Here is a 14,034-nt window from a genome sequence, read left to right as displayed (position 1 = left end):
CCGATCCCCCGCCCTTCTTGTTTTTAAACTGTTGGTGACACCTTTGTCCCCCTGATGGTCCTATTCTCACTCTGATCAGGTTTGAGGTCTAACCTTCTCTCCGATTGCTTGGACCTGCCACGGGGGATTCCAGACCTTCCGGGCTTCTTTCCACGTGCCCGCTAGGGGCGGCCAGCTCGTCTTGCCACGGCCCAGCGCCGTTCGTGGACTCCGGGTCCAGCTCAGGGCTCTGCATGGAGTCGGGTACCGACTCGAACGCGCTGTTCTCCTCCTCCTCGTCGTCTTGCGAGGAGAAGACCGTGCTCTCGGAGATCTTGGCGCTGTCCACGGAGGAGAAGCGCGTGTGGCTGGCGAACCTGTTGCCGTTGTAGCAGGAGGGGCTGTAGCACGAGGCGCTGTAGCACGAGCTGCTGTAGCAGGACGTGCTGTAGCACGAGGAGCTGTAGCACGAGGGGCTGCAGCAGGACGCGTCACAGCCCTCGCAACTGTGGTCCCCGCCTTGCCTGGGGCTGGAGTCGCTCTCGCTCCCGGTGCTGGGGTGCGTGTCGCCATCCTGGGCCGCGCCATTGGCCAGGCTGGGGAAGTGGCCCCCGGAGTGGCCAGGGTGCGCCGTGCCTGGAGTAGCCCCCTCGGGCTCTTCTCTGTCCTCTTCCAGGGCAGACGGGTCAGCGGCCACCGTGTCCACCTCGCTGAGCCCATCCTTCTCCGAGGAGTCCTTGAGGGTGGACTCCTCCTCCGCGCCGTCCTCCTCCTCTGCCGCGCTGCCGCCCTGGGCGGAGGGCATGCTGTGCAGCAGGGTGTGGATGCGGATGTAGTGTGTCCGCGGGGTCTCGGGGTCCCCGCAGGCTGACGCGATCACCGTCTCCAGCTCGGACACAGGCAAGGAGCAGGGCCTGCTTTTTCTCTTCACCGAGGCCCGCAGCTGCAGCCTGCCCTCTCCCTGCTCCAGGGTAGACACATCTCCCTCCTCCTCCTGCTCCTTCTCCTCTTCTTCCCTTCCAGCCCGGCTCTGGGTCGTTGCTTCCTCCTCCAAGGGCTCCTCCTTGGTGCTGGCTGGGGCTTCACCGTCTTCCAGCAGCAGTGCTGATGCCTCCTCACCCAGGTCCAGCTGCTCGGCCAGCTCTTCTGCACTGGGGGCAGGCTGGATGTCCTTTTGCACCTGGGCCAGGAGCTCCCCAGCCCCTTCAGGTCCCACAGAGACCATGCCCTGGTCTCCTGCCTCCGTGATGACTGCTGCTTCCTCAGCTGGTCTGGAAAGCTCTATGCTTTGGTTCCCTGGACCATCGGGGACACTGCCCTCACCCAGCTGCTCTGGCTTCCAGCTCTCAGAGGACTCTGGTGCCTCAGACCGAGGTTCCCCACTGCCGCTTTCCATCAGGTTGTTCATGGGGCTGTCCTGAATTTGGGCTGACTCAGGCTCGGTACTCAGGGAAATCTCCTCATCATCTGCTGGTAAGAAGAAAAATATGTCATTTCTCCCAGAAGAGAGCATTGTGGTGTTAGGATACCCTGTGGGACATGTAAGCCATCACTAAGGGATTTCTACATTAGGATATTGAATGTAGGTTGATGAGGGTTTCTCACTGGCCAGAGCTCTAGTGAAAAATTCTGTAAGAATGAGTTCTTGCTATGTTAACAACAACTTGCAGTCATGGATATATTTCCGAAATACGATTCAAAAAGGGAATTCATCTTTTGGTTAAAATGCCCAAAGCCTAGCACTAACCCAGTTCTGGGCACATAGTAGGTGCTCAACAGTGTTTGCCACATGGAATGACTTCCAGGGATGAGGGTAGTAGTGGTGTTATTTATAGCTCCTTGATGATTATATTTAGTTAATTGCATTTGCTCAGAATGTTTCCTATGCTTAGGTCCTGCAGGGTGGCATAAGGGGTAAGCAGGATTCTCAGGCAACCAGATTCTTCAAAGGCTGGATGAAGAATAGGAACAATCACAGTCATTCAATATCTCAGGCTGGAAGGTTCCCAACATTTAGAGTTTATTCCAATTTAAAAAAAACAAGGTCTTCACCTCAAGCAGCCATTCACGAGGTAGCATCCAGCCAGTGTTTAACTCTACCTTCCTGCAGCTGTTCTACTGGATTCCTGCCAGATGTGAAATTCCCCATTTCAAATGCATTAGTGCAAGTCACTAAAGAAAATCAGTCCCTCTGGTGAGCTGTAAAGCTGTCCTTATGGCTACACCAAAGGAAGAGTCAGTTGTATTCTCAGAATATAGAAATAGACTGAATTTGAAAAGACAAAATAGTCAAGGTGTTTTCTTACAATCTAAGTTGTATATTGGCACAGGAAAGTAGACCTGGAGTTTAATGAGTGGGTAGTGAAAAACTCCAGGCTCTAAGTTCTCAAGAGCTTCATTAGACTTAACAGCAACTTGTAAATGGTCCAGGAGGTCCTAACAGTTCTCAGTATGATCTATATTGAGATGTATGGGGGCTGCAGAAGAAGAGCAAAAATAAAATTATGAGGCATCTTATCATTCGTATTTTGAAATCTGTTTTAGCATTAAATGGAACACTGGATGATTCTGGAGTTTTCTGTCCTATTTATACTTTTCTTGTTTTTCTGTGATATTATAAAAATTCATTGTACAATTATAGTTCTTCAACATGACATTCTTCAGCAACTGGCTAGTCTATATCTAGTTACTAGGTAGAAAGATGTTTCACGTTCATTCATTCATTCATGTATGTGATGATTAAACACCTATGTGGGTGCTGGGGGTAGGATGATAAATAAGACAGAACTCCCTATCCATGTTGGCCTCATTGTTAACCTTCAGTCCACTGTCTACTCTGTACCTTTGGGTCACTAGAATGAAGAGGAGCTTCTCTATCAGGGGGACAGCAACCTGGCTTCCAGAATAGATCACTGGCTTCTGGACCTCAAATGGAGAAGATAACCACAAAACCTAGGATACATCTGGAGAGAACCATAGTTATTGTATTTTAGAAAAAGGAACCACACTTATGACACTAGCCTAGGACAAGACATGAAGTTCATGCTGAAAATACCTGGGTGGATGGAGGAAGTGATCTCAAATCGGAATTGCAGCTGTCCACTCACATGATCTGTTGGAAGCCTGCGGCCAAGTGTGTAGCTGACCACCCTATCCCTAGAAGGAAATAAGCACCATCACAGTTCTGGTCAATACCTCTCTTCCTAATGACCATGCAGTGTGCTTTCTATACCAGTGGGTGAGGCAGGCAAGCCCAGGGAAGTCCTGATGTGCTCAACAGCAATACAAAACTGTAAGGAAGTCCTTATCGAATACAGATGCCCCTTGAACTACCATGGATTATGACCCAATAAACTCATCAAAAGTTGAAAATACTGGCAATTCAAAAATGCATTTAATACATTTAGCCTGCCAAACATCATAGCTTAGCCTAGACTACCTTAAAAGTGCTTGGAACACTTACATTAGCCTACAAGTATGCAAAATCATGTAACACAAAAACAAAACTATTTTATAATAAAGTATTGGATATCTCATGTAATTTATTGAATACAGTCTACTGTAGAGTACAGTATCACTTGTTTACCCTGTGATCACATGGCTGACTGGGAGCTATGGCTTGCTGCTGCTGCCAGCTTCACGAAAGTATCGTGTTGTGTATCGCTAGCCAAGGAAAAGATCAAAATTCAAAATTCAAAATTCGATGTATGGTTTCTGCTGAATTCATTGTAAAGCAAAAAATGGTTAAGTTGAACGGACTGTCTGTATTCTAAAGCAGGGGTAGGGTAGGCAAATTACAGCCTGTGGGCTAAATGTGGCCCACCACCTGTTTTTGTGTGGTTGTGAGCTTTTTACATTTTAAATTGTTGGAAAAAGAAATAAAAGAAGAGTAACATTTTGTAGCATGTGAAAATTATATGAAATTCAAATTTCAGTGTCCATAAATAAAGTTTTATTGGAGCACGGCCATGCTTGTTAGCTTACGTATTATCTGTGGCAACTTTCATGCTATATTGGTAGAGTTGAGTAATTTAGACAGGGACTGTGGGCCTTGCAAAGCCTAAAATATTTACTACCTGGCCCTGTACAAAAAAGTTTGCCAACCTGTGTTCTAAAACAGAGAGAGAGAGAGAATAAAAAAAGACACGGATGTCCTTGGCCTGCTTTTCCTGTGCAGATTGCCATTTTCCAAATATGTCCTCAACGATGGACAGTGCCAGCAGATGCATATCTTGTGGTATATATGTAATGTCTAAGAAAGGATGCTGTCATGGTTACTGGAGAGTCTGTGGGCGCTACAGAATGGCACCTGCTCCAGGATGGAGCAGAGCAAGACTCGTGGGCTGAATTCTTTGGCTTGTGAGTTCCACTTAACACCAATTGCAGGGCTCCACATGTAGGGACCCCAAGTCTCCACCCTGGATTTTCATGCCATCCCCTCCACCCCCTCAAAGCAATTTCTTAATTATAAAAAGAAAACTTTCTAGAGGCAATCAACCTGAAACTTTGCTATTATATTTTCATTAACAATGCAGCTTCAGCAGAGTAAATTGCCCCTTACCTGGGCCTAAATAGGAAGAGTGACCACCTTTGGATATTCAGGAGTTAACAAACCCAGGGTACCCAGTAATAACAAACACATAGCCCCAAACCAGTTGTTACTCAGATGACTCTGTATTTATTCCATTTATTAGTTTGTGACATGAAAATAAAAAGATAAATCACTGGCTGATAGTGTTTTAATGTTTCTTTCTAGAAAACACTGGCATTATGAGACAACCTATATCCCAACAAGCCCCGACTTAAAAATTGTTCTTTGATAAGCCATGATTTAGTGTTTGGAGTTCCTCAGAAGTCCATTAAGTAAAGCATTATGTGCAGAAAAAAATAGGATGAGCTTCAGTATTTTGTCTGTTTAGAAAGAGCCTTTGGTCAATATTATGAAGTAGGTCTATTATGACCATAACAAAGACATCCCGAACCCAAAACTTAATTGAAATCAGGGGAGGCCTAAAGACAATCAGACAGTGGCACAAAAATTACATTTATTATGCTTTGCATTTACTTTCAGGGCTTTTCTTTTTTTTGCTTTTCACCCACTTAACAAATATTTTTTGAGCCCCTGCCATGTGAAAGGTGCTGCAGTTGATACAAAGCATGTCATACATCGCCCCTGCCTTTAAATAGCTTATGTCCAGCTGGGGGCATAAGGTAGGACCACTAAATAATGGTTCAAGACAGCCAGTGACACTTCAATGCGAAGGTGAGATGGTTAGAGTTACAGGCAGACAGCCAACAGAAGCCTGGGATTTTACAGGCCAAGGAATCGAAGGAGGATTGGAAATGAGAGTGCATGTGTGCCCAGGGGGGAAAGGTGCAAATATCTCAGGGCAGGGAGGCAGCCAGTACAGGTGGAGCCAAACGTTTCAGAAACCACGGATGCAGGGGGCTTTATGGGGAGAGCATGTGCTGAGGGCAGAGGGAAGCTGCGGTGCAAAGTGGATTCACTTTTGTTGTGGGTGCACTCTGGGGTTCTGCCATGGCTCAGGCTGCATGGCCACTGCTTCCATGGCCATCACCCCAACACTCTGCTCCTAACCACGGTGGGACACCTCCGGAGGAGGCAGCACTGCAGAAGTGGCCCCCAGGGGCTGTGGAAGCAGAAGGCTTTGGAGGAGGAGCTGCTCTGCGCCGCCACCAGGGGGCAGTCTATCATCCCATCAAAGAGGGTGGGAGGAAAAACGCCTCCATGGCTTGCTGTTGTTGCCTCTTGGAGAGGTGTAAGCTCAATCACACTCGATCTGTGCTCTCCATTTCCCTGGGTGGCAAGAACACTGGGAAAATCATAGCTAACCTTCTTTTGGTCGGGGACACCCTTTTCCACCTCAGGTACTTGCTTTCAGCTGGGGATGTGCCTTTCCACAGTGGGAGGCTTGGAGGGCGGGACAGTGCTAAGAAGATAGGAGCCGGCAGCTTGGACTTAGGAGAGAACTCAGCATGGGAGGGCAGAGGGGCTCTGCGGCTGCAGCGAGCTGGAGAGAGAAGTTCTGTTCCTTACGTACGAACTGGTATCTATCTAATGCATGCTGGGCGGCAGTGCACTGGGTGCTGGGGTAGAAAGAATCCCACACAGCCCCTGTTTTTGTTCTCCAGCCCACCCCCTGGCAGAGGTGCTAACAGCTGTGAGAGCAGCCAGTAGGGCAGAGAAGGAGAGAAATGAAAAGCATGGCCCACAATAAACTACAGAATCAGTCCTAGGAACCCTGAGAGAAGCCTGTTGTGTGGGGATGGCCCTCGGACTTTGGAGAGACACAGGTGTGAGTCTGAATTCCGGCCGGATCTCTGCCACCCACAAGCCTTGGGTTTACATAATTATTGATCCTTTTGAAGCCTTGTTTCCTCGTGCAGGAATGGTGATAATGCTGTCACAGAAGCATTATGAGGACTAAATGAAATAAAAAAGATCACAAGGAATACCATTTTCTTTTGTGTTCCTACTACGTGCCAGTGGCCGTGCTAGGTTCTTTATGTACACTTTTTGTCTGTTTAATCCTCACAACCATGAATGGCAAGTGCAAACACTGCATGTGACACGTGACTGCAGCTCCATAAACTCAGCTCCCTTTGGCTGGAGAGTTAGTGGCAGGTCTCTGTGCACCCTGCTGCCTACACACCATAAGGTTCCAATTAATAATAAATGTCTTTATGATAATTATCCGTGATTCCAAAGTCCTTCTGATAATCCAAAGAACTTTAAATTAAGACACTTGGAAATTCTGCATATTTTTTTCTCATTCTTTTGCTATCTTTGTAAGGGTTACATTGTATATAAGTATATGTTTATCAATAGAAAGCTTTATTTAGTGTTTTCAAATGTAGTCCCTGTTACCTAAAGAAATACATATTATACATAGGGCTGTTATCTGGTCATAGTCCACTTTAATGAGAACCATGAGTGGACATGAATGTAAAAGAGACAAAACAGAAACCCATTCTCATATACAATTGAATTCTGTGAGCATCTTAATTGCTGTCATTCCATGAGAATCATGCTTTCAAATTCTTATCCATGTTATCTAGCATCTGCAGATACTAGTGTCTTCTAAGTAAGAAACTCTACAGTAGTTACCCAGTATTCCATCTTGTTATGGAAATGTCACATATGATTAAATCTTACATACCAGACTGGCATATGAATGAAATAATATTCTTCATAGTAAAACAAACTTTAGTTTCTACCTGTACAGAAAAATGCCCCATTGAGGGCTTCTTTTAATACTGTTTAATATTTTTAATAGGATTTTTTACTCTCTTGGGTAAGTAACCAGTGTTACACATCAAGTGAAAAGGGATGGGTTTGTTTAATATAACAAACACTTATGTTGGCTCAGGCAACATAATTAGTAGGAAAAACAAAGGAAATATAATGATACCATTTTGACTCTCTGTGAGACTATACTATTGCAGCCTACAGGCCACCTTTGGGCACGACCTGTTGGTGGGAACCTAGTGATAGTAAGATCTCAGTCACAGGTTTACCCTATGGCGTGTCTCTCCAGGAGTCTTTGAACGGGCATCGACAGCTTTCCCAAGAAGCGCTTGATGATGGGGCGGCTCTTGGCAAACTTGTCCTTCACCTCAATTTCCAGCACGTCAGTGGGCAAGGACACAAAACTGAATTGCTGCAATGAAAGAATATGTCACATCAATTAACTGAGAGGTTGGAGGGCTGGTCAATTCCCAGTCCATCTGCCTTGATGCTGTCACTGTAAAACATCCTAGCTATAATATACCTATATATAAAGGGTCTCAGAAATGTTGTGAACCTGTTTATTCAGTAAATGAGGGGCAGCGACAAGATGCTTCTGCAGGGCTTAAAAATAGGCTTATTCTTTGAGATTCAAGCAGTAAAATCAGCATGCTTTAAAGAGAAAGAATGCCACCAAAGCCTCATCATACTTGATTGAAGGTATTATCATACTTTAAGAAAGAACAAGCACAAACTCACCTGTAATTAAGAAAATGTACTTTAAATAAACAATGCAATATGGTTTTTCATGATTATGATGGAAGAGATTTCTAGAAGTTTGGTAATACCCTGGATCCTTGAGAGGGGGAAGAGACAAGAATTCTCACACTGTTTTGGTGGGAATGCAAATTGATTTGACCTTTGGGAAAGGAACTGGCAATATTTACTGGCATTTAAACTGCAAATTCCTTCAACCTAGAATTATATTTTTAGAGATTTTCCTTCTGGATTAATTTGCGCAAATGTGCAAAAGATACATTTAACAGGGATGTTTATTGGAGCATTACTAACAATAGTAAAAGACTGGAGAAAAACCCAAAACTGTTTACAAAGAGGAAACTGGTTAAGTGAAGGCTGATAAATCTTTGAAACTGAGAACTCTGCCTTCGTTAAAAAGAAAGGGGTGAATCAACATACACAGACATGAAAAGACACCCGAGAAACTAGGTGAAAAAGCAAAGCACAGAAGAATACGAAGAGTAGGATTTCATTTGTACTTTGAACTGCAGAGAAAATGTCTAGAGGGGGATGCTCCAAACTGAAGTCCAGGAAGTGGGCTGGTAGGGGAGGGAGAAAGCAGGTCTTTTATATTTTACTTCATTTGATTCTAAAGTATTCATTTGTTAGCCGGTTATGGTGGCGGGCATCTGTAATCCCACCTGCTCTGGGAGACTGAGGCAGGAGAATTGCTTGAACCTGGGAGGTGGAGGTTGCAGTGAGCTGAGATTGCACTACTGGACTCCAGCCTGGGTGACAGAGTGAGACTCCATCTCAAAACAATATACACAAAAATTTTAAAAAGTACTTGTTTGTTAAATAGTGTATGGTGTGACTTTTAAAATAAAACAATACCAATTAAAGGAAGACCGTGACCATCAGAAGTTGGCTTGGTCAACATGAATGTCAGGCCTCAGAGCCCAAGCTAAGCCATCATATCCCCTGTGATCTGCACGTATACATCCAGATGGCCTGAAGTAACTGAAAAATCACAAAAGAAGTGAAAATGGCCTGTTCCTGCCTTAACTGATGACATTACCTTGTGAAATTCCTTCTCCTGGCTCAGAAGCTCCCCCACTGAGCACCTTGTGACCCCCACCCCTGCCTGCCAGAGAACAACCTCCTTTGACTATAATTTTCCACTGTCTACCCAAATCCTGTAAAACAGCCCCACCCATATCTCCCTTCGCTGACTCCCTTTTCGGACTCAGCCTGCCTGCGCCCAGGTGATTAAAAAGCTTTATTGCTCAGACAAAGCCTGTTTGGTGGTCTCTTCACATGAACACACGTGAAAATTAAAAGTGTAAAAAGGAGACTCGGGAAGGTAAATGTTGGCATTGCCCAGCCCAAACTACCTGGGAAGAGGAAGTCTTAATTAACATTGAATGTTACAGTCCCCTTAATCAAGGGCTGTGAAACACCTGAAATAAATACATATTTTTCTTTTATTCTGATGAATCCTAACAGCAATCCTTTTTTTTTTTTTTTTTTTTTTGAGACAAAGTCTAGTTCTCTTGCCCAGGCTGGAGTGCAGTGGCACAATCTTGGCTCACTGCAAGCTCTGCCTCCCAGGTTCACGCCATTCTCCTGCCTCAACCTCCCGAGTAGCTGGGACTATAGGCATCTGCCACCACGTCCAGCTAATTTTTTGTATTTTTAGTACAGACAGCGTTTCACTGTGTTAGCCAGGATGGTCTCCATCTCCTGACCTCGTGATCCGCCTGCCTCGGCCTCCCAAAGTGCTGGGATTACAGGCGTGAGCCACCACGCCCGGCCTAGCAATCTTTTAACTTTAGTTGATTTCTATTTACAGAGATTAAATATGTTGGGCATGCTAATGTGAGTATCTTCTTTGTGGCAGTCAGGATGAGCTAGGGCATGCTGCACTAACAGCCAACTTCCAAGTCTCAGGGGCTTCAAGTTGTATTTCTTGCTCACATTCTCACTGTGGGCTGATGGAGCAGCCACCCTCTCAAGCATTGCCAGTTACAGTGACAGAGGCAAAAAGAGCTCCCCCTGTAAATAAGTGTTCACTTCCAAACATAGCTCCTCAGAACTAGACACAGGCCCCAGCCACCCTCAGGGAGCAGGAAGTATAATCCTATAAGGTGCCTGGGAGATGGACCACAGAAATATTTGACAAACAGAACTAACGAGTTCCACAGTGACCATGTGGTACGTCTGATTGCTATTATAAATCAGTTTTAGTTAACTCCTATATAACTCCTAAGAACTAATCATTCCCAGTACTGAGAAAACTGAGTTATGGACATGTCAAGTTTGAGAATCCAACCCAGGAATAGGTACTACTCTAAAAAGGCCTTCCTAAGTGAGAATCCAGCCCTGCTGATTGTCTCAGGTCCTTAAAACTTCTATATCTTTGGTCCAGTTATTCCATTCTGGAGTGTATTATAATATATCTTCTAATCTAAATACCCAACAATAGGTTAGGTATAGGTGATATGCACATATAATAGTTTAACTTTTCTAAATTATAATAATTTATATATAAATATATATAATTACATGTAACACTAAATGCTAATAAGATGGGAAATGCTTGTTTTGCAGTGTTAAGTAACACAAACAGGACAAATACAATTCATGATCACAATAATATGAATTATATGAATAGAAAAAGACTGGAAAAAATTACAACAGATTTTATAACAGTTGTTTTACCAAGTAAGAATATATTTTCCCCCATTTCCTTTTTCTGTATTTTCCACACTTTCTATAATGAACACTTATTATTTTCACAAGGAAAAACGTAATCACCTTTATTAAAATGAGACTATTTCTACCTACAGTAGCCTACATGGGACACTGAAGCTAGCTTATCAAAATATATTATGAAACTTAGTGGGAGCTTCTGGGTTCTTTCCTCCCTCCACAAGAACTTTCTTCTTAAACTCTCTTCACACACCCATCCCTTCATCCCAGACATCAACCTCTCTCCCCACCAGGCCCTTTTCTCCATGCCATGGTTACTGGAGTCCATGTAGACCCCCAGCTAGGTCAGGCTCTGTTAAGAACTAGTGAGTAGTCCTGAAAATGTAAAAGTCTGTCTGTTTGTGGACCAGCTACTTGCACCCATGAGCCTCAAGCCAGTACATGGATTTCACCTGGCTACCCTGACTTGGCCTTTACTTCAAGCCTCTAAAGAACCTTTGGAGTGAGATAAACTTGGCTTTATTCCTAGCTCTGCACATCCAAGTTCTGGACTCTGTTATTCACAACCTCTCCAAACCTCAGCATCTTCACCTGTAGAATGGGAAAAGAAGGCCCACGCCATGTTAGACCAAATTTCTTCCCTCTCCATTCCTATTCTATCCAGACCCCACCTGCCTCATGATTTACTATCACCTTCTCCTTTTGACTCTCTGGTTATTGAACTTTCTTAAGTTTACTAACTCATTTCAGCTGGCCCTTAATGGCCACTAATCCTATACAGCTGTTTGTAGTAATCTGTAGGCCTATTTCAAATGCTTAGTATGCAGACAAAATCTATGATTGTCCTATTACTAAGGCACACTCTTTGTTTCCAGAGAAACGGCCACTTGGTTAAAAGATAAATTTGTGAACTATATCTGCAAAAGGTTTTTTGTTTTTTTTTAAAAAAAAGGATGTATTGTTGCCTAAGCCCTCTGCTGGTTTGGGAATTTTATCTCTTTGCATCTTACTTCACCAGTGAAAGAAAACCAGTGTGGAAATGACAAAGCCAATCCTGGGCATCCTTGGGGGTCTGATGTCTGGCTATTTTCCATCTTTGTCCTTTACCTTTTGATCTGAGCTTTTCAGAGCAACTGTAACACATGCTTGGGCCAACCAATGAATAAATGGCTCCTCATCTTCTCACAAGCTGTGAAACTGTCCTAAACAAAAGTCTACTGGCACTCGGGTCAGAAAAGAAAGTTCCATAGGTCATTTCTTCATCAGAGCATCAGAGTCTGAATTCTCTTTCTTGGCTTCACTTTAGGACTGAACTGTCAGGCCTTTTCAACTGAGCAGCAACAGCAGGAAGACAGCTGTACAAGGCCCACCGCTGGGGCCACTATGAGCAAGAATGATGCATATGGTATTCCTACAGGGTCACGCACCCTTCTGCCTAAAAGTAAACTTTCTTTTGTTTAAGCGCAGATGTTGGGATGCTTACTTTTGCTTTGACCAGTGGGTCTTAGCCTTGGTTCTCAGAAAAATCTGGAAGCTTCCACAATAGTACCCATTACTGGGTCCCATTCTTGACTATATTAGACTCCCTTGAGAGAGCAGGGCACTGGTAGTGTTTAAAGCTTATCAGGTGACTCCACTGTGCAACTGGGTGGAGAACCACTGTTCTCTCAGTAATAATCTATTTTAATATCAAATAATGTTACAGTTAGGAAAGTATTTCTTACACCAAATCTAAATCTTCCTCTGTGGCCTAAATATTTAGTCCAATGATCTGTAAAGCATTCTTCAAACCTGAGTTTAATAGCTTATTTTTTGTTGGCATTCTTATTAATGGAAGCAGATGGAAGTGAATCTCTACCCATTAGATGCCAGTGACACTCCCCTAGATATGGTAGCCAAAAATGTCTCCAGACATTGCCTCATGTCCTTTGGGGAGACAAAATCACCCTTGTTGAAAACCACTGATGTGCTCCTATCATCTTCAATCGTCCAGAGAGATATTAGCACTGGTGCTGCAATATAGGAGGATGTTATTTATTTTGTTTGTGTTGTTTACTCAATAGGCCATTTATAGAACTAAGATGCTTATTATATTCCATCTTGCTTCAGAAAAGATCTGAGGTAGATCGCCTCTAAACAGAACTTTTATAAATTGAACTTAATGAAATTAAAACAGGGTAACTAACTAAAGGAAATATTTAATTGGCAATTATGTAAACTGGTAGCAGTTGCATAATGAGCAATTTAGGCAGAGATTAGGAGAGTGTTGGTAAATAAAGGAGGGGAAAGTTGTATCCATTCATTCATAAACACTTTTTGGGCACTGGCTGTGAGCTGGGTGCTGGGACACAGCTACCACCCTTCTGTGCTGGAGTGCTGGGGCCACAGCCTCCAACTTTAGACCTCAGAGTCTTACACTGCAGGCAGAAAATGACAAAGCAGAAGATGCTATAGTAAGGCTTCCCAAAGGCTCAGCCTGATGGACAGGTAGAGACGATTTCCTAGAGAACATAATGCTTTAACTGAGTCTTAAAAAATAAACAACTGGGCCGGGCGCGGTGGCTCACACCTGTAATCCCAGCACTTTGGGAGGCCGAGGCGGGCGGATCACGAGGTCAGGAGATCGAGACCATCCCGGCTAAAACGGTGAAACCCCGTCTCTACTAAAAATACAAAAAATTAGCCGGGTGTAGTGGCGGGCGCCTGTAGTCCCAGCTACTTGGGAGGCTGAGGCAGGAGAATGGCGTGAACCCGGGAGGCGGAGCTTGCAGTGAGCCGAGATCCCGCCACTGCACTCCAGCCCGGGCGACAGAGCGAGACTCCGTCTCAAAAAAAAAAAAGAAATAAAATAAACAACTGGCCGGGTGCAGTGGCTCATGCCTGTAATCCCAGCACTTTGGAAGGCCGAGGTGGGTAGATCACAAGGTTAAGAGTTCAAGACAAGCCTGGCCAAGATGGTGAAACCCCCATCTCTACTAAAAACTACAAAAATTAGCCAGGCATGGTGGCAGGTGCCTGTAATCCCACCTACTTGGGAGGCTGAGGCAGGAAAATTGCTTGAACATTGGGTGACAGAGTGAGACTCCATCTCAAAAAAAAAAAAAAGCAAGTGTCGGTGGGATGAAGAAGGGGTGGGAGGAACATTCCAGGTAGAGGGGTGCCATGGGCAGGGGCTGAAGTTCACAGAGTACATGAGTCCCTTGGGGAACTGCAAGTGGCTTACTACCTCTGGGTCATACTGGAGAATCTTGTTGTGGATGAAACTGAATAGATATGCAGAATCCAGATCATGAACAGCCTCCTGGCCACAGCTTGGACTTATCCTGAAGGCATCTGGGAGCAACTAAAGGATCTGC

The 14,034-nt window shown here is 44.4% G+C and overlaps 1 protein-coding gene across 19 annotated transcripts in view; it reads right to left on the bottom strand.

Annotated features, from left to right (window-relative positions):
* Window positions 1-14,034, bottom strand: part of HECW1 (HECT, C2 and WW domain containing E3 ubiquitin protein ligase 1) — a 453,355-nt gene that overhangs the window by 120,338 nt on the left and 318,983 nt on the right. For 11 of the 19 annotated variants that reach the window (XM_017011883.3, XM_006715670.4, XM_017011882.2 and 8 more), the window contains 3 exons: window positions 7,519-7,661; window positions 3,035-3,135; window positions 94-1,449 (listed from right to left, as the gene is read on the bottom strand). In XM_017011883.3, the coding sequence (XP_016867372.1) occupies window positions 94-1,449; window positions 3,035-3,135; window positions 7,519-7,661 (1,600 nt within the window). The remainder of the gene's footprint in view (window positions 1-93; window positions 1,450-3,034; window positions 3,136-7,518; window positions 7,662-14,034) is intronic. The other 8 variants (NM_015052.5, NM_001287059.2, XM_006715671.4 and 5 more) reach the window with 1 other exon arrangement.

Source organism: Homo sapiens, chromosome 7 (assembly GCF_000001405.40).
Source record: "Homo sapiens chromosome 7, GRCh38.p14 Primary Assembly".
Classification (NCBI taxonomy): Eukaryota; Metazoa; Chordata; class Mammalia; order Primates; family Hominidae; genus Homo; species Homo sapiens.
This window is presented reverse-complemented; position numbering and strand designations above follow the sequence as displayed.